General features: G+C 39.8%; 1 protein-coding gene across 3 annotated transcripts in view, besides 3 other annotated features; it reads left to right on the top strand.

Moving 5' to 3' along the window:
• Positions 1-19,409, top strand: part of TNFAIP8 (TNF alpha induced protein 8) — a 130,930-nt gene that overhangs the window by 11,338 nt on the left and 100,183 nt on the right. The gene's annotated exons all lie outside the window — the stretch shown is intronic.
• Positions 9,311-9,550: an enhancer, noted in NCBI's record as "active region_22966". NCBI's record gives its function as "activates an Ori minimal core promoter by ATAC-STARR-seq in GM12878 lymphoblastoid cells {active_cell/tissue: GM12878}" and the evidence as "EXISTENCE:reporter gene assay evidence [ECO:0000049][PMID:35858748]".
• Positions 10,009-10,058: an enhancer, noted in NCBI's record as "active region_22967". NCBI's record gives its function as "activates an Ori minimal core promoter by ATAC-STARR-seq in GM12878 lymphoblastoid cells {active_cell/tissue: GM12878}" and the evidence as "EXISTENCE:reporter gene assay evidence [ECO:0000049][PMID:35858748]".
• Positions 10,299-10,488: an enhancer, noted in NCBI's record as "active region_22968". NCBI's record gives its function as "activates an Ori minimal core promoter by ATAC-STARR-seq in GM12878 lymphoblastoid cells {active_cell/tissue: GM12878}" and the evidence as "EXISTENCE:reporter gene assay evidence [ECO:0000049][PMID:35858748]".

The following is a 19,409-nucleotide window of genomic DNA, read 5'->3' on the forward strand; positions in this document are numbered from 1 at the left end:
ACAACTTAGTGAATTATTACAAAGCAAACACCCATATATATCACTAGCATTTAGGTCAAGAAATAGAACTTTGCCAGAGGGACCAAAATTTTACATCCCATCCTGATCACATTTCCCTCTGTTCCTCCAAAAATAAATGCCATCCTGACTTTATAGTAATTACTTCCTTGCATCTCTTTATGGTTTTATTACCCAAATGAGCAGCCTGACCCACTGAGTTTTAGTCTTACCCATTAAAAAAAAAAAAAGATGTTTAAGTCTCTTTTAATCTACAGACCCCTCTACCAGAGTCTCCTTCCTTTAAATTTTTTTTTTTAATTTGTTGCAGGACCTGGGCTGTTTAATTTGTAGAGTTTCCCACAGTGTTGATAACAAGAAAGATTCACACTCACGGTACAGTTTAACTTACTGCTTTTCCCTCTGTTTCCTGTATCTGGATCCAGAGACTTGATCAGATTCAGGTCTCATCCCTTTGGCAAGATTACAGATGGTGGTGTATTCTTTCACTGGGAGACACATGGGGTCTGGTTTTTCCACTCTTTTGATGTTAGCAGCTGTTGATCCTCAGTGTCTCGATCTGTTAATTCAGTGGGGGCAATTGCAGAATGGTGATACTCTAATTCTATCATTTTGATTTTATTTATTAGCTGGAATAATTTTATAAGGATAGACGCCTTTTCAATCTGTTATTTGATTGCCCAGTGGTACAATTCACATAGGAAAGGGATGATAAATGCTTGATTCTTTCCTTTGATTTACTCAGTTTTCAAGAATTGATTTCATGTCATTCTCAGAAGATCACTGATTAGGGTTTTTTTTTAATTGTTATGAGCTCATGGAATTAAATCTTTTTTATAGGTTTTAGTCTATTGAAATTTTAGTTTTTACTGAGACTCAAATTGTCCCATCTTTGACCAATGGGAGCCTCTTCAGTTGGCCCCTAAGTCCTCCTGACCTGACCTTAGTATTCTTGTTAGTTTCCTGCTCTTTGATTTGTTAAGGTGATCCATGCTTGTCTTGTACATTTCTTGCCTATACCTGGAGTCAACCATTTTCCCAAGAAACCCTGGTTATTTTTTAGCGAGAAATGGTATTTCAAGACTATAGTCCAGACGCTGGGAATCCTCATTCACTGGAATGGTTAGTATTTATAGGCCTTTCCTCGGTCAGAGCTGGGAAACACACACACATACACACACACACACACACACTCTCTCTCTCTCACACTTACATGCAAACATAAATACTCATATAAAGATAAAATACTTTGTGAGTTCATAATGCTATTTCCAATTAAAGTTCAAGACTATAGGGTTTCTGTTTAACCTCTTATATATTACATTTTTATTCCTTTTCTTCCACACTTAGAATCCTGGTTTTTTGGTCACAAGGGAAATAGACTATTGTGTAATTACCTATTTGATTACCCCATATTACACACAAATCGTCTCCAAATAATGACATTAATACTACCATTACCAGCTATGATTACTGAAAACAATAAAAATAATTTCTTTGGCATATGCCATACTAATTCTTTCCCACCTTAAAAAAATGGTTTAGTACTTCTGCATCATCAGATCTTATTATTGTTATATATTAAAATATCTCCCTTTTAATACTCATTTAGTCTTATTTGTACAGGTTGTTGTATATATCATGCTTATCACTTGTCCTCATATCAGTGTCTCTAGACATTTTGATTGAAGCTCTTTCTCTAGTAGATTTAATAGGAGGGGATCATGAGAACAATATTCCCTAATTTCAAGTTGATAAAACTTGGTCTGTGACCTTTATAATTAAGGGTCACTGTTGTCTGATATAAAATCCTTGGCTCAAATTTTCTTTCCTTGAGAATCTTAAATATGTCACTCCATTTTCTTCTGACGTAAACTATTGTTGTCCGAAAGAGTCTAATGATGATGATCTCAATGTTTTCCTGCTATACGTGCTACTCTTTTAGCACTTTTCAGAGTATCAACTATATATCATTTCATTCAGTCAACAGAGTATGAGCATTCCAGTACTGTAACTAGTGAGCTGTTATGTTACCAAATCTGAGTGTGTGACTTGGTCAACCCTGTTCCCAAATAATCTCTTTCTGCTCTTGACCCAGAATAAGCCACTTACTCTCAGTAGCTGTAGGTTTTTTATCTTTGTAACATCTGCTGGACCTTGTAAAGAGTTCAGTTAACACTAAATATATATTTGTTTATGAAATAAATGCTGTGGAAGGATGTGGGCTTTTTTCTTTTTCTTATTAGCCTGTTGGGAACTGTCCCATCCCTTTGCCTCTTTTCCTCTGATCTGGTGAGGCTTTGCCTTTGTGCTCCTTGAAACGGGCCCTTCCCCTGAGCAGAAGGTATGTGGGTGCAGCACCCATTGGTTCTGGGTTGTCCCATGGATTCAGTGTCAGGTTTTCAGACTGTGTTCTTGTTGTATTGCATTTTCAGGACTAGCATGTTGGGAACTCCTGGCGCACAGAGTGTCTGACTCCACAGTAAGGCCACTGTGGTCCCCACGCCTGCTTGCCCTTTTCTTTGTCTACACCCTGATCTGTTCCTTCCTGGGTTTCACAGCCTAGGCCCCTGGCATGTGGGGCATAGACCCCAGCCTCTCTGTGACCTTCCTTTTCTGACCACTGCATCAGTGGGTGCCAGGGATTCCACCTGCCCAGACAGGCCCTTTCTTCCTTCCTGCCCTTTCCTTTCTTGACTGATCTTTTTGGTCTTCATTTCTTGCCCATCACAACCTTTTGCAGGGCACTACAAAATGGGACCCTTGGCCAAGATGTGACCCAGATGCATTTTGCTCAACTTATACACTGTGTTCAGCTTTTAAAATTTTCATCTCACTTAGTGGGGCATTTGTGCGAGTTTGGCCAAAGACTCTGCTGCTCCCTATTGTGTTCCTCCTGGTCGGTCATACATTTCATTTATCTGCCTGGCTTCTAGAGACAGGTGAGTTGGTGACCTCTGAACTTTGGTATCTCTTGCTTCTCAAAGCATTCACCATGTGGTGATGACCTTGGGCTGCCCTATTTTATTCATGACCTGCACTAGTTCAGCAAGACATTCTTGCCCTGGTTCACTCACCCTGTTAGGTCCTGGCCTGTGGGCCATTCCGACTTTTTCTTTCATCCTCTTGAGGATCCCAATCACATGTAATAATAGGAAAAAAACAATCTTATGACACTTAGCTTTTAAAAGCATTCATTCTACAAAAACAATGATGAAAATGATCAAGGAGTGATAGGCTAGGCATAGTGGCCCAAACCTGAAGTCCCAGCTACTCTGGAGGCTGAGGTGGAAGGATCCCTTGAGCCCAGGAGTTTGAGACCAGCCTGGCAACATAGCAAGACCCTGTTTGTATTAATTAAAAAAAAGTAATGGAATAATGGTTCTTCCCTGATGGATGTGAATGCTTAGGTGATCTCTTATTGCAGGTATAAAGAAAAAGGGAAACTCTTAGCCTTGGTCACACCAGGGAGAGCTTGCTGTAAGAGAGTCGGTGATATGGAAAAGCTGCCTGTGACTTGAGAAATTGCTCTTACTCCCTCCTTTTCTGTTCCTTGTCAGTGCCCTGAAGTAAGGAGTTGTAGAGTTGGGCTCTTCTCTGCTGTGGCTGGGCCTGTGGGAGGCAGCTCATGAGCCTGACTGCCCTAGTGAATTTCTTCCCAGGTGTAGTTTTTCAGGTCACAATTGAAGCAGTACTGGAAATGACTCTTTGCTCCTAAGAATCTTCGAGACAAATAAGGACTTGGGTTAAAAAAACAAAACAAAACAAAACTGTTTCTATTCCATTTTATTAATTCAGCAGAAGTCATACTGAAGACTTGTTCTTCGCCTGTTCTCAGCTGCCTGTCTTTTTGCCTTTTGCCTCTGGTTAGCCCATGTATGTGCCAAGTGTGGCAGTAAAGGCTGAGTAGTTTTTGACCACTTACTATGTGCCAGGCACTGTGCTAAGATCTCTCTGTACATTGCCACATTCTTCAATGGCAGTTTGAAATAAGTTCTATCATTATTATCCCCATTTTAAAGATGGGAAAACAGACTGCAAGAACTTAAGTTGTTACCCAAGGTCAGAGGCAATCTGATGTTCAAATCCGGTGGTTTCTAACCATATTGCCATAGTTCCTCTTGCAGGAACTATGCCACCTAGCCAGCTTGCAGGGGCTTGCTGGAGGGCAGTAACAGAGCTGGGTTCCAGAGGCTGCAGGATGGAGATCTTGAATATTGTAGAACAGTTCTTCAACAGAAAAAAAAAATCTTTTGAACAGATTTTTCTCAGAGCTATTTAAAAATCCCTGATTTAGGCCAGGCACCTATAATCCCAGCACTTTGGGAGGCTGAGATGGGTGGATCACTTGAGGCCAGGAGTTCAAGACCAGCTTGACCAACATGGCAAAACCCCCTCTCTAATAAAAATACAAAAATTAGCCCGGCATGGTGGTGCACGCCTGTAGTCCCAGCTCCTTGGGAGGCTGAGGCAGGAGAATCGCTTGAACCCAGGATGAGGAGGTTGCAGTGAGCCAAGATTGCATCGCTGCACTCCAGCCTGGGTGACAGAGCGAGGCTCCATCTAGAAAAAAAAAAAAAATTCTGTAGCATAAAAACATGACTCTAAGTCTCACAGCCTGAGTAGCCCCAGGTTTATAAATCCATTGTCAGGGCTGCAAACAACTTGAGAGCAACCTGCCTTGCTGATAACAAGTCAGCAGTGTTACTAGCATTTGCTTGTTAACAATACCTCAATAAGGGACAAGAAGAAGGGAGGTGAAACTTAAATGTGCCAATTTTGAAACTTGCTAGGCATTCTAGTAGTGAGTTTGGTGGAGAAAGAAGTTAAAATTATCTAAAAATAACGTTTTTGAATTTCTTACTATCTGTGCCATCTCTCCATATGTTGTCAGAATCTTTTTTTTTCTAATTTAAAGCATCATTTATACCCAGAGGAATATCATAGAGAAATTTTGCTTACATGGTCTTTTTGAAATAGTTAAGCAAAGGACGCAGCCATTATTTGGTACTAGGTAATGGGAAAAGCTCTGGACAGGCGAGCAGGAGGAGGCGAGCAGGCGAGCAGACTGGGTATATAATATTGCTGAGATGCTCAACCCCTCTGGGCCATAATTGGTATATCTAAGAAATGTGAGTTGTCAACTATAAATCATCTCTAATCCCTCAGTGTGAAAATTCTGTATTCTGATAATTGTCACATGTACTTTTCATTCTCATTTTAAGCATGGGAACCAGGGAGTCCAAAGCTACTGGTAGAGCCAGAGGGGTAGTATCCTGGGTCCCTGTGGGAAGGAGTGCTGACTGCCCCAGTGTGGAATGAGGAATTCTGCACAAGTGGCTTTGGGTGGGAAGTCAGGAAGAACTCTGGCCCCAGAGGCTTCCCAGGAGGCTCCAGAACTACAAAATGTTGCCTTGAGATAATCTTGTGAGTAGATTTATTTTTAGGCTATATTTGTGTTCCCTCTCATTGCTAAGATAAGTGACTGTTAACTATACTAACATACAAGGAAACTTTGCTAAATTATCTTTTACACAAGAGAGCCTATCTGTGAAAGTATCCAAGAAGCTGATACAAGTGACCACAAGTGAATTAATTTTGATACAAAAAGCGTTCATTACAGCATTGTTCTTAAGAATGAACAAAACAAAAACTCAAACCACTTAAATATGCATCAGCTGCTTACATACATGAGGGTGCTTCCTTGAGATGAAACACTGTGCAGCTTTAGAACAAGGTTGGTCTCTATGCACTGATATGGAAAGATCTCCAAGACAGATTAACTTAAAAAACAAAATACTGATCTCATTATGTGTAAAAAGGCATATTGTAAGTTTATGAGTACATACGCTTTTTTTTTAGAAGAATGAACAACATACTGTTAGTAGTAGAACTATGAGTTGAAAGAAAAAGTTTAACTTTTTATTTTATACTGTCTGTGTGTTTAAATTGTGTAATAAAAATATATTTGGCAAAGGAGGGAATTTAGATTTCAGTTCAGGTTTTGAGGCATTCTAGTACTTCCTTAGAAAAATCTGTGTAAAAAGTGCATGCTGAGAAAAGGTGGGCATTGTCTGGAAACTCTTCAGGCTCCCAATGTTGGGTAACTCCCTCACTGCACTTCCCCAGCCTTTACTATCCTCTTCTCAAAACAGAAATCTCTGGTTATTGATTCCTCTAACCCAGAATAGTCAATGGCTCCTAGTGTCTATTAAAAAAAAGTCCCGGTTGGCACGGTGGCTCACGCCTGTAATCCCAGCACTTTTGGAGGCCGAGGTGGGTGGATCACGAGGTCAGGAGATCGAGACCATCCTGGCTAACACGGTGAAACCCCGTCTCTACTAAAAATGCAAAAAAATTATCTGGGCATAGTGGCGGGCGCCTGTAATTCCAGCTACTCTGGAGGCTGAGGCAGGAGAATGGCGAGAACCCGGGAGGCAGAGCTTGCAGAGAGCCAAGAATGAGCCCCTGTGCTCCAGCCAGGGCGACAGAGCAAGACTCCCTCTCAAAAAAAAAAAAAAAAAGTCCCAAAGAGCATCATGGCAGAGCAGACAGGGTATGGGCCTGCCCTGTGAGTTTGTCATCTTGCATTTGGGCAATGTTTGTGGTGGCTCTGCCATGCCCCAGTCACAGTGTTAGTGCGGGAATACAAAGGTGAACTGCATGCTGTGAAACTGTATGCAACTTCCTCTAGCCTCAGTCTTCCCACTTACAAGACAAGTTGTCAGGATTAAATAGAACAACAAATGCACAGAGCCCAGAGGACAATATTTGCTCGCTTGCCCCATCCTTCTCTCCATGTCCAAGGCCAGATGTGATGCCTACTCCTCCTCTGAGTGTCTCCTTTGGTTCCCATTTCTAAACCCTGCATTGTTCCAGAACGCATCGCAAGCATCCCTTCCTTTGCCTGGTTGTATTGCCCCTTTCCTGCACTGCCCATTGCTTCTCTTTCCTGGACATCATTAGCCTACCCTTTAGGAGCCAGTTCAGATGCTGCCTCCTCCAGGAAACCTTTTCTGGTCCAGAAGTCATCTCTTCCTCTTAAGGTTTTGTGTAGTTCTTTCTAGTCTCCTTTCTTTATATTGATTCTATCACTTACAGCATTCCTCCTTAGTTTGCAGCTTTCTGTGCCTTACTAGGATAGCTTCCAGGGGACAGTAACCAAGTTTTTTTTTTTTTTTTTTTTGCTTTTTTTCCCCAGCTTTACTGAGATATAATTGACACATAAAAATTGTATATATTCAAGGGGTAGAATGTGATGATTTGATGTGTAATGATTACCACAGTCAAGTTAATTAACACATCCTTCATCACACATAGTTACCGTGTGTGTGTATGTGTGGTGGGAACACTTAAAATCTGCTCTATTAGTAAATTTCAAGTAAACAATACAGAATTATTAACTATAGTCGCCGTGCTGTATATTAGATCTCCAGAACTTACTCATCTTATAACTGAAGGTTTGTATCAACAACTCCCCATTCCCCACCCTCCAAACCCAGCCCCTGGCAGCTGCTGTTCTGCTGTCTGCTTCTAGGAAGTAACTCAGTTTTGTTATCTCTAGAACTCATCTTTGTGCCCGTGTTCTCAGTAAATATGTGTTAACGAATGACTTCATTTTTAGGATTTGCCTAAATATCATTTTTACTTTCACTTAAGGGATTATTTTAGTTTCAACTAAAAATTAGAACATTTCCTTGAAATCCACTCTGTTTAGCAGGCTAGACACAGTTTCTTTCCCCATGCAGGGATTAAACTTGAAAATTGTGGCTTTACTAACCCTGAGGAATTTTTAGGAGGAGACCAGGCAGGCATCTTATCTCAGTTGGTCTAGACAGTCACCACCTTGTACGTGAGTAATTGGCCCATAAGCTCTTGTCTGATGAGGTGAGATGTTATCCTGATAATTTAAAAAGCAAACATACTACCCCCATTACTAAGACAACTCCCAGCAAAAGTAAAGGAAATGTATAAAGAAAAAACAGTAAGGTTATAGAGGTGTGTGTGAAAACATCTGTTTCATTTCTCATATTCCTTTCCATCCTCATCTGTGGTTATATATAGCTGTGACCATAGAATATACACAGTTTAATGTTCTGTTTCCTCTTAACATTATTTTGTACACAGTTTTTCATGTTTTTATGGACACTTGATATGTTTCTAAATGAAACAATTGGAGTTCAGTTGATTGTTGCCTTTCCTGAGAGAGAAATGGAGAGTGTGAAACAAAGGTGTACCTTGAGGGAATGTCAGCATCATCTATTCCTAAAAGGCACGGTCTTATTCTGATGTTGCTAAATTTTACTGGAGCAAAAACATTAACAAATGATTTGATTGATGTTTGCAGCACAATCAATGGGATTAAGGTCTTGAGCCACTGGAAAAAAGTTTTCTTTAATTAAATACACATCTTTAAGAGATTAGACAGAGTTTTGCTCAAGCAATGGCTCTTTATTTAGAAAAGCTGTTGGGAACAGCTGGAAGGCAGCCTTTCCTTATCAACAGGCTTGTATAACTAACCCCAAGTTGTTTGCTAATAAATTTCAGGTCCCTAACACTAATAGGATGAAATAATTTTACATAGAAGGATCAATCTCTAACCTCTTTTTTCAGAAGAAACTAATCTGACTGGTGCCTATAGGCAATGAGGTGTGTTTAACATATGGAAAGAATTAGACTAAATACCAGAATCTCTTTGAAGTTTGTGGATGTAGTCTCCAAAGAGAGAGAAGGGCATTTAAAATTAAACTGCACAGAATTATAACAAGCACTTACTACTCATTCTTGGAATGAATCTTGCTTTGGCCCTAGGCTAAATTGTCTAGATTTGTGCTCCTTTTGTTGGCTTAAAGCCACATTCACTCCTTTTTACAGTGAGAACCAACTGCTTCCTAGCACGGTTTTGTAGCTTTCTTTTATGGAGGTTCTTAATTATTTTGCTATTTCTTTCATCATGCAGAGTCATTAATACAAATGTTGATTCAAAGTAAATTTACCTGCTGGGCCAGCTTACCTGTTAGGAATTAGTGTATTTTATATCATGATCACACCTTACTATACTTATTGTATACAATCAAATCTCCTATAATTTCGCAAAGGGATACTTATCAGACTTGTGTTCCCAATAGTGTGTATCTTTGTGTGGTATCTGTGGTTTTATTTGTGAAAGAACTGCCAAAAGATTGGTCCAGGTTTGTTTCTGTTTTTATTTATGACTTAAAGAGAGGCATTCGGTCTTACTAGTCACCCAGAGCAGTTTCACTGGATCCCAAGAAGACCTAAGAGGACTGTTAGGTTTGTAAGAGAAGGACTGTGCTAGGCTGTACTTAGCCATAACTTCAAGAGAAGACCTGTATTGGGCTGGAAACCTCTTTTAAAGATTGGAGAATTCAGAAGAAATCTTGTCAAATAAAAACTTATGAAATGCTATCAGTTTCTGGGGCTGAGGCAGGGTGCCTGGCACAAGGGGATTCTACCAGGTTCAAGCTGCTTAGACATGGCTGACTGACACCAAATCCTGTACATGGCTGCTGTTTATTATTGCCAGCCTCTTCCTCCTGTTCCCATCACTAATTCTTGCCTTGCTCCAATGCCCATTTACCACCTCTGACACTTTGAAGCTGCTCTTGCCCTGGGATAAGTTAGGAAAGCCAGAGTGGGAGAAAAGTCCGAGGTAGAAGTGAGGCGAGATCTCTCTATATTTTTGGCAGTATTTTCTAAAAGCCAGGGCTGGGATCAGAATTCAGGCTGCCAGCTGTTACTACTTTCACACTACTAAGTCCTTAAAGTTAAAAATAAATTACAAAATCATTCAAAACCATTATGAAGTCAGTCCAAGACACAGCTTCACCAACGATTTCATTAAGTTTAAAAATTCTCTCATCATTCAGTCAACTAATGATTACTAAATGTCTTACTAAAGCATGCAGAGTTGAAAAATGTTAAAGAAAGAAATTCTCTGCCCTCTAGGACTTATTAATCTAGTTGTAAGAAAAATGTTAGGACAGAAATAATTGGAATGCAATACAGCATACATAAGTGAAGTGTAGTAGTTGTCTGTTGCTGCATAACAGATTACTAAAACTTAGTAGCTAAAAACAACAAAAAACATTTATGGTTACATACACTTTCTGTGGGTCAGGAATTTGAGAGCTACTTAGCTGGTTGGTTCTGGCTTGAGGTCTCCCATAGGATTGTAGTCGGTGAGCTGGCCAGGTCAACAGATATCTGAACATTCTCTGCGGCTGGAGAATCCAGTTCTAAGCTGGTTCACTTATGCAGCTGGCAAGTGGTAGTCGCTCTAGGCAGGAAATCTCACTTCCTCAATATGTAAACCTCTTCACAGGTTTATTGGAGTGTCCTCATGACATGGTGGATGACTCTTCTTAGAGTGAGTGATCCAAGGGAACATAAGGTGGAAGCCTCAGATGTCTCCTATGATCAAGCTTTGCTTGATCTCCATTGCTGTTGGTGTGTGACTTATTGGTTACACAGGTCATATGGGAGGGGATTACACAAAAGAATGAATATCAGGAGGTGGGAATCATTGGGGGCATCTTGGAGACTGGCTGTATGAAGAGGCGAAGATCTGCATAATAATGGAAAGAAGTGTTGGGATGCCTCAAAGGAAGGAGGCAGAATGTAAAATTGATGGATTTTCAGTAGCTGAGGTTGAGGGAAAGGGTGTTGGCTGAGATAGGGCATCAGGAGCAAAGCAGGGCGGACAGCAGCTGGTGTCAGTGTGTTCAAGGGACATTAATGGAGCAGTGTGGCTGGAGTAAAGCCTGGTCAGGTAGGAAGGGGTCAGGGCCTGTAGGGTCTTGCATGCCAAGCTAAGGAGTTTGGACTTTCTTTGATTATTAGTGATGGGTCTTTGAAGGTTTTTGAGCAGGCAACTGACATAATCATTGGCATATTTTAGCTTTAGTTTGTGTATGACCTTTAGGGTTTTGGTGCCCTTCTCGTTTGTTTCCAGTATTATCCAGGTAGTCAGCTCTCTAATTTCTAAAATTGTGTAACACTTTTGCCCATGTCCCTTGATCACATACTACCTTGTACTATTTAACTTTTCGTGTATTTATCTTGTTATCACAAGTAGATAGCAAGGGCTATAGGGCCATGTCTTTATCTGTTTCTATTTCCCCTGCTGTATCTAGCACACTGGGTGCCCAATAACTACCTGCTAGCTGCTTGGATAATAGCAGCCAATTGCTACATGTGTGTACAGCCACTGTTTTCGGCCTGTCATGCATAATTTACAGTTAAGCATTTTTCAAAAGAGGGAGCAATTGCAGTGGATTCGATTTACGTAAGTGGAAAAAAGTGTTCAGAATCAGTTCTGCGTGCTTGGCATTTGCCATAACATTTTTAGGAAATTTGGAATAATAATTTTATTTTTAAAAACTCATGGATTATTTTTAGCTTCAAAGAGTGTTCTTATTTTGCGTAAGTTAAACTAATGAGGCAGTACCAGCCACGGAGTGCAGGAAGGGCTGCTTTCATCTTTGAATAGTGAAAGGCAGCCTCTTTCATGCATATGTTTATGGGATAAAATTCCTTTTTAGGATTTGGGGCAGAGTTTTTTCCCTCTTATGCCCCTTAGTTTGAATGGAATAGTCATTCATTGTCCTTGTATTTTCGTTGCCCGGGTAAGTATTTCACTCAAGAGATAGTTTCAAGAAAGTTGGAGATTTCTTCTTTCAAACTAGCAAAGACATTTTTGCTTTTGTCTCTTGAAAATCTCCCTCAAACTAAAAGAATGAAAATCAGGAATGCAGACTGTATCCTTATAAACCTTGGAGACATCTGTAACCCTGACCCATACAGGACCTAAAGATAGAAAGCAGATGAAGTGATGGCAAATGCATTTGCAGAGAGGAGAAGTGAAGTCAAGAATAAAATGCCTGCAGGGCTCACCGGGAGAGGACCGGAAGCGATTGATTTGCTCACAGAATGCCAGGAAGGCTCAGAAATGAGAGTTCCCCAGTTCCCCAGAGGCATAGGTGAAGCAGAGGCTTTAGGATGGGAGTAGGGGTGGGAAAGTCTGCAGGAGGTAAAGGGGAGCCCCAGAAGGACTTGAGAAGGGAAGTTCCCTATTGCAGCTCTGGCCCAAGGAGAAGAGCCCATCTAGAATAGAGCTGAAGGAGGAGGGCTCCAGGAGGAGTGTTTCTGGGAGGAGCAGGAATGAAACTGATTAGAAAAGAAGAAAAAAAGAAGAATGGGCCGTACTGGGTTTGAATTCTTTCTCTGTCACCAATGAACTGTGAGTATGAGGAAATTAGTTAATGTCTTTGGACTTTTCATTTCCTTATTTATTAAATAAAACATTATATCATATGGTATTTTGTTATTCTGTTGGGTAAAAGACAGTACAAAACCCAGCAAGTCTACTTCCAGATGTCTACCCCAAAAAATGAAAACATGTCCATACAAATACTTATAAGCAAGTGTTAATAGAAGATTATACATAAGAGCCAAAAACTGGAAACAGCTCAAATATCCACCAATTAGTGAATGAATAATCAATGTAGCATATATATATATATATATATATATATATATATATATATATACACACACACACAATGAAATACTATTTAGCAATAAAAAAGAACAAAGTACTGTACCTGCTACAGCATGGGTGAATCTCAAAAACATTGTGCCAGGTAAGATAAACCAGATGCAAAAGGCTACATACTGTGTGGTTCTGTTCATGTGAAATGCCTGGAAAAGGCGAATCTGTAAACAGCAAGTGATTAGTGGCTGCCTGAGGCTGAAGTAAGAATGGGAATTAACTAAAAATGGCTGCTGTGGGATGATGAAATGTTCTTCTTCTTTTTTTTAAAAAAATAGTATTTATCTTTATCTGTCTGACTTTTATTTCACTTAGCATTATTCCAGGTTCATCTGTGTTGTCACCAATGGCAGGAGTCCTTTTTAATTTTGTTTTTAAATTTTACTTTAATTGACAACTAAAAACTGTATATACATGTGTGTACAACATGATTTTTGATATATATGCATGTTGTGGAATGGCTAAATCAAGCCATTTAACACATGCATTACGTCACATCCCTTTTTTTTCATATGTGGTGCCAATACTGAAAAATCTACTCTTCTAGTAGTTTTCAAATGTACAATAGATTGTTATTAACTGCTGCTACTGTGATGTACAGTAGATCCTTTTGAACTTGTTCCTCCTGTCTAATTGAAATTTTATGTCTTTTGAGCAACATCTCCCCATCCCCCAACCTTCAACCTCTAGTCACCTCCATTTTACTCATTTCTGAGTTCAGCTTTTTTACTACACATACGAGTGAGATCATGTGGTGTTTGTCTTTCTGTGCCTGGCTTATTTCACTTAATATAATGTTCTCCAGGTTCATCCATGTTGTCATAAATGACAGGATTTCTTCTTTTTTAAGGCTGAACAGTATTCCATTGTGTATGTGTACTATATTGTCACTATTTATTCCGGATGAGGAAATGTTCTAAAAATTGGATTGTGGTAATGGTTACGCAACTGTATACATTTACTAAAAATCATTTAATTGTACACTTACAATGATAAATTATATCTCAATAAGGCTATGGGGAAAAATGGTAACAAAAGAAGAGTCAAGGGGTAGAGAGGTACAAATGAAACAAGATTGGCAAAATACTGGTTATTGTTGAAGGTGGGTTACAGATGAGAGTTTATTATACTCTTTCTACTTTCATGAATGCTTGAAAATTTGAATAATAAAAAGTTTTTAAAAGGGCAGTCACATGCATGTTATTGTATGGATGTCAGATAACACTTGCAGCGCTTTACAGTGGTGGATGTTCTAGGCACTCTTGGGACATAATTTTACCTTCATTGGAACCAAATCCATAGTATATCAATTCACTTTTAACGTGTTAGCTCTTCCCAATACCTTCTTTTTTTTCTTTTTTTTAAATTTTATTATACTTTAAGTTTTAGGGTACATGTGCACAGTGTGCAGGTTAGTTACATATGTATACATGTGCCATGCTGGTGCGCTGCACCCATTAACTCGTCATTTAGCATTAGGTATATCTCCTAATGCTATCCCTCCCCCCTCCCCCCAACCCACAACAGTCCCCAGAGTGTGATGTTCCCCTTCCCGTGTCCATGTGTTCTCATTGTTCAATTCCCACCTATGAGTGAGAACATGCGGTGTTTGGTTTTTTGTCCTTGCCATAGTTTACTGAGAATGATGATTTCCAATTTCATCCATGTCCCTACAAAGAACATGAACTCATCATTTTTTATGGCTGCATAGTATTCCCTGGTGTATATGTGCCACATTTTCTTAATCCAGTCTATCATTGTTGGACATTTGGGTTGGTTCCAAGTCTTTGCTATTCTGAATAGTGCCGCAATAAACATACGTGTGCATGTGTCTTTATAGCAGCATGATTTATAGTCCTTTGGGTATATACCCAGTAATGGATGGCTGGGTCAAATGGTATTTCTAGATCTAGATCTGAGGCATCTCCACACTGACTTCCACAATGGTAGAACTAGTTTACAGTCCCACCAACAGTGGGACTCCACATCCTCTCCACATCCTCTCCAGCACCTGTTGTTTCCTGACTTTTTAATGATTGCCATTCTAACTGGTGTGAGATGGTATCTCATTGTGGTTTTGATTTGCGTTTCTCTGATGGCCAGTGATGGTGAGCATTTTTTCATGTGTCTTTTGGCTGCATAAATGTCTTCTTTTGAGAAGTGTCTGTTCATGTCCTTTGCCCACTTTTTGATGGGGTTGATTGTTTTTCTCTTGTAAATTTGTTTGAGTTCATTGTAGATTCTGGATATTAGCCCTTTGTCAGATGAGTAGGTTGCGAAAATTTTCTCCCATTCTGTAGGTTGCCTGTTCACTCTAATGGTAGTTTCTTTTGCTGTGCAGAAGCTCTTTACTTTAATTAGATCCCATTTGTCAATTTTGAATTTTGTTGCCATTGCTTTTGGTGTTTTAGACATGAAGTCCTTGCCCGTGCCTATGTCCTCAATGGTAATGCCTAGGTTTTCTTCTAGGGATTTTATGGTTTTAGGTCTAACGTTTAGTCTAACGTTAGACCTATAGGTCTAACGTTTAGTCTAACGTTAGACCTATAGGTCTAACGTTTAGTCTAACGTTAGACCTATAGGTCTAACGTTTAATCCATCTTGAATTAATTTTTGTATAAGGTGTAAGGAAGGGATCCAGTTTCAGCTTTCTACATATGGCTAGCCAGTTTTCCCAGCACCATTTATTAAATAGGGAATCCTTTCCCCATTGCTTGTTTATCTCAGGTTTGTCAAAGATCAGATAGTTGTAGATATGCGGCGTTATTTCTGAGGGCTCTGTTCTGTTCTGTTGATCTATATCTCTGTTTTGGTACCAGTACCATGCTGTTTTGGTTACTGTAGCCTTGTAGTATAGTTTGAAGTCAGGTAGCGTGATGTCTCCAGCTTTGTTCTTTTGGCTTAGGATTGACTTGGCTATGCGGGCTCTTTTTTGGTTCCATATGAACTTTAAAGTAGTTTTTTCCAATTCTGTGAAGAAAGTCATTGCTAGCTTGATGGGGATGGCATTGAATCTATAAATTACCTTGGGCAGTATGGCCATTTTCACGATGTTGATTCTTCCTACCCATGAACATGGAATGTTCTTCCATTTGTTTGTATCCTCTTTTATTTCATTTAGCAGTGGTTTGTAGTTCTCCTTGAAGAGGTCCTTCACGTCCCTTGTAAGTTGGATTCCTAGGTATTTTATTCTCTTTGAAGCAATTGTGAATGGGAGTTCACTCATGATTTGGCTCTCTGTCTGTTGTTGGTGTATAAGAATGCTTGTGATTTTTGTACATTGATTTTGTATCCTGAGACTTTGCTGAAGTTGCTTATCAGCTTAAGGAGATTTTGGGCTGAGACAATGGGGTTTTCTAGATATACAATCATGTCATCTGCAAACAGGGACAATTTGACTTCCTCTTTTCCTAATTGAATACCCTTTATTTCCTTCTCCTGCCTAATTGCCCTGGCCAGAACTTCCAACACTATGTTGAATAGGAGTGGTGAGAGAGGGCATCCCTGTCTTGTGCCAGTTTTCAAAGGGAAAGCTTCCAGTTTTTGCCCATTCAGTATGATATTGGCTGTGGGTTTTTCATAGATAGCTCTTATTATTTGAGTTACGTCCCATCAATACCTAATTTATTGAGAGTTTTTAGCATGAAGCATTGTTGAATTTTGTCAAAGGCCTTTTCTGCATCTATTGAGATAATCATGTGGTTTTTGTCTTTGGTTCTGTTTATATGCTGGATTACATTTATTGATTTGCCTATATTGAACCAGGCTTTCATCCCAGGGATGAAGCCCACTTGATCTTGGTGGATAAGCTTTTTGATGTGCTGTTGGATTTGGTTTGCCAGTATTTTATTGAGGATTTTTGCATCAATGTTCATCAAGGATATTGGTCTAAAATTCTCTTTTTTGGTTGTGCCTGTGCCCGGCTTTGGTATCAGGATGATGCTGGCCTCATAAAACGAATTAGGGAGGATTCCCTCTTTTTCTATTGATTGGAATAGCTTCAGAAGGAATGGTACCAGTTCCTCCTTGTACCTCTGGTAGAATTCGGCTGTGAATCCATCTGGTCCTGGACTCTTTTTGGTTGGTAAGCTATTGATTATTGCCACAATTTCAGAGCCTGTTATTGGTCTATTCAGAGATTCAACTTCTTCCTGGTTTAGTCTTGGGAGGGTGTATGTGTTGAGGAATTTATCCATTTCTTCTAGATTTTCTAGTTTATTTGCGTAGAGGTGTTTGTAGTATTCTCTGATGGTAGTTTGTATTTCTGTGGGATCGGTGGTGATATCCCCTTTATCATTTTTTATTGCGTCTATTTGATTCTTCTCTCTTTTTTTCTTTATTAGTCTTGCTAGCAGTCTATCAATTTTGTTGATCCTTTCAGAAAACCAGCTCCTGGATTCATGTGTCTCTGTTTCCTTCAGTTCTGCTCTGATTTTAGTTATGTCTTGCCTTCTGCTAGCTTTTGAATGTGTTTGCTCTTGCTTTTCTAGTTCTTTTAATTGTGATGTTAGGGTGGCAATTTTGGATCTTTCCTGCTTTCTCTTGTGGGCATTTAGTGCTATAAATTTCCCTCTACACACTGCTTTGAAAGTGTCCCAGAGATTCTGGTATGTTGTGTCTTTGTTCTCGTTGGTTTCAAAGAACATCTTTATTTCTGCCTTCATTTTGTTATGTACCCAGTAGTCATTCAGGAGCAGGTTGTTCAGTTTCCATGTAGTTGAGCGGTTTTGAGTGAGTTTCTTAATCCTGAGTTCTAGTTTGATTGCAGTGTGGTCTGAGAGACAGTTTGTTATAATTTCTGTTCTTTTACATTTGCTGAGGAGAGCTTTACTTCCAACTATGTGGTCAATTTTGGAATAGGTGTGGTGTGGTGCTGAAAAAAATGTATATTCTGTTGATTCAGGGTGGAGAGTTCTGTAGATGTCTATTAGGTCCGCTTGGTGCAGAGCTGAGTTCAATTCCTGGGTATCCTTGTTAACTTTCTGTCTTGTTGATCTGTCTAATGTTGACAGTTGGGTGTTAAAGTCTCCCATTATTATTGTGTGGGAGTCTAAGTCTCTTTGTAGGTCACTCAGGACTTGCTTTATGAATGTGGGTGCTCCTGTATTGGGCACATATATATTTAGGATAGTTAGCTCTTCTTGTTGAATTGATCCCTTTACCATTGTGTAATGGCCTTCTTTGTCTCTTTTGATCTTTGTTGGTTTAAAGTCTGTTTTATCAGAGACTAGGATTGCAACCCCTGCCTTTTTTTGTTTTCCATTTGCTTGGTAGATCTTCCTCCATCCTTTTATTTTGAGCCTATGTGTGTCTCTGCACATGAGATGCATTTCCTGAATACAGCACACTGATGGGTCTTGACTCTTTATCCAATTTGCCAGTCTGTGTCTTTTAATTGGAGCATTTAGTCCATTTACATTTACGATTAATATTGTTATATGTGAATTTGATCCTGTCATTATGATGTTAGCTGGTTATTTTGCTCGTTAGTTGATGCAGTTTCTTCCTAGCCTCGATGGTCTTTACAATTTGGCATGATTTTGCAGTGGCTGGTACCGGTTGTTCCTTTCCATGTTTAGTGCTTCCTTCAGGAGCTCTTTTAGGGCAGGCCTGGTGGTGACAAAATCTCTCAGCATTTGCTTGTCTGTAAAGGATTTTATTTCTCCTTCACTTATGAAGCTTAGTTGGGCTGGATATGAAATTCTGGGTTGAAAATTCTTTTCTTTAAGAATGTTGAATATTGGCCCCCACTCTCTTCTGGCTTGTAGAGTTTCTGCCGAGAGATCAGCTGTTAGTCTGATGGGCTTCCCTTTGTGGGTAACCCGACCTTTCTCTCTGGCTGCCCTTAACATTTTTTCCTTCATTTCAACTTTGGTGAATCTGACAATTATGTGTCTTGGAGTTGCTCTTCTCGAGGAGTATCTTTGTGGCATTCTCTGTATTTCCTGAATCTGAATGTTGGCCTGCCTTGCTGGATTGGGGAAGTTCTCCTGGATACTATCCTGCAGAGTGTTTTCCAACTAGGTTCCATTCTCCCCGTCACTTTCAGGTACACCAATCTGACATAGATTTGGTCTTTTCACATAGTCCCATATTTCTTAGAGGCTTTGTTCGTTTCTTTTTATTCTTTTTTCTCTAAACTTCCCTTCTCACTTCATTTCATTCATTTCATCTTCCATCACTGATACCCTTTCTTCCAGTTGATCTCATCGGCTCCTGAGGCTTCTGCATTCTTCATGTAGTTCTCAAGCCTTGGCTTTCAGCTCCATCAGCTCCTTTAAGCACTTCTCTGTATTGGTTATTCTAGTTATACATTCTTCTAAATTTTTTTCAAAGTTTTTAACTTCTTTGCCTTTGGTTTGAATTTCCTCCTGTAGCTCAGAGGAGTTTGATGGTCTGAAGCTTTCTTCTCTCAACTCATCAAAGTCATTCTCCATCCAGCTTTGTTCCGTTCCTGGTGAGGAACTGCATTCCTTTGGAGGAGGAGAGGCGCTCTGCTTTTTAGAGTTTCCAGTTTTTCTGCTCTGTTTTTTCCCCATCTTTGTGGTTTTATCTACTTTTGGTCTTTGATGATGGTGATGTACAGATGGGTTTTTGGTGTGGATGTCCTTTCTGTTTGTTAGTTTTCCTTCTAACAGTCAGGACCCTCAGCTGCAGGTCTGTTGGAGTTTGCTAGAGGTCCACTCCAGACCCAGTTTGCCTGGGTATCAGCAGCGGTGGCTGCAGAACAGTGGATTTTCGTGAACCGCGAATGCTGCTGTCTGATCGTTCCTCTGGAAGTTTTGTCTCAGAGGAGTACCCGGCCGTGTGAGGTGTC

This window comes from Homo sapiens, chromosome 5, assembly GCF_000001405.40.
Source record: "Homo sapiens chromosome 5, GRCh38.p14 Primary Assembly".
NCBI classification, from domain to species: Eukaryota; Metazoa; Chordata; class Mammalia; order Primates; family Hominidae; genus Homo; species Homo sapiens.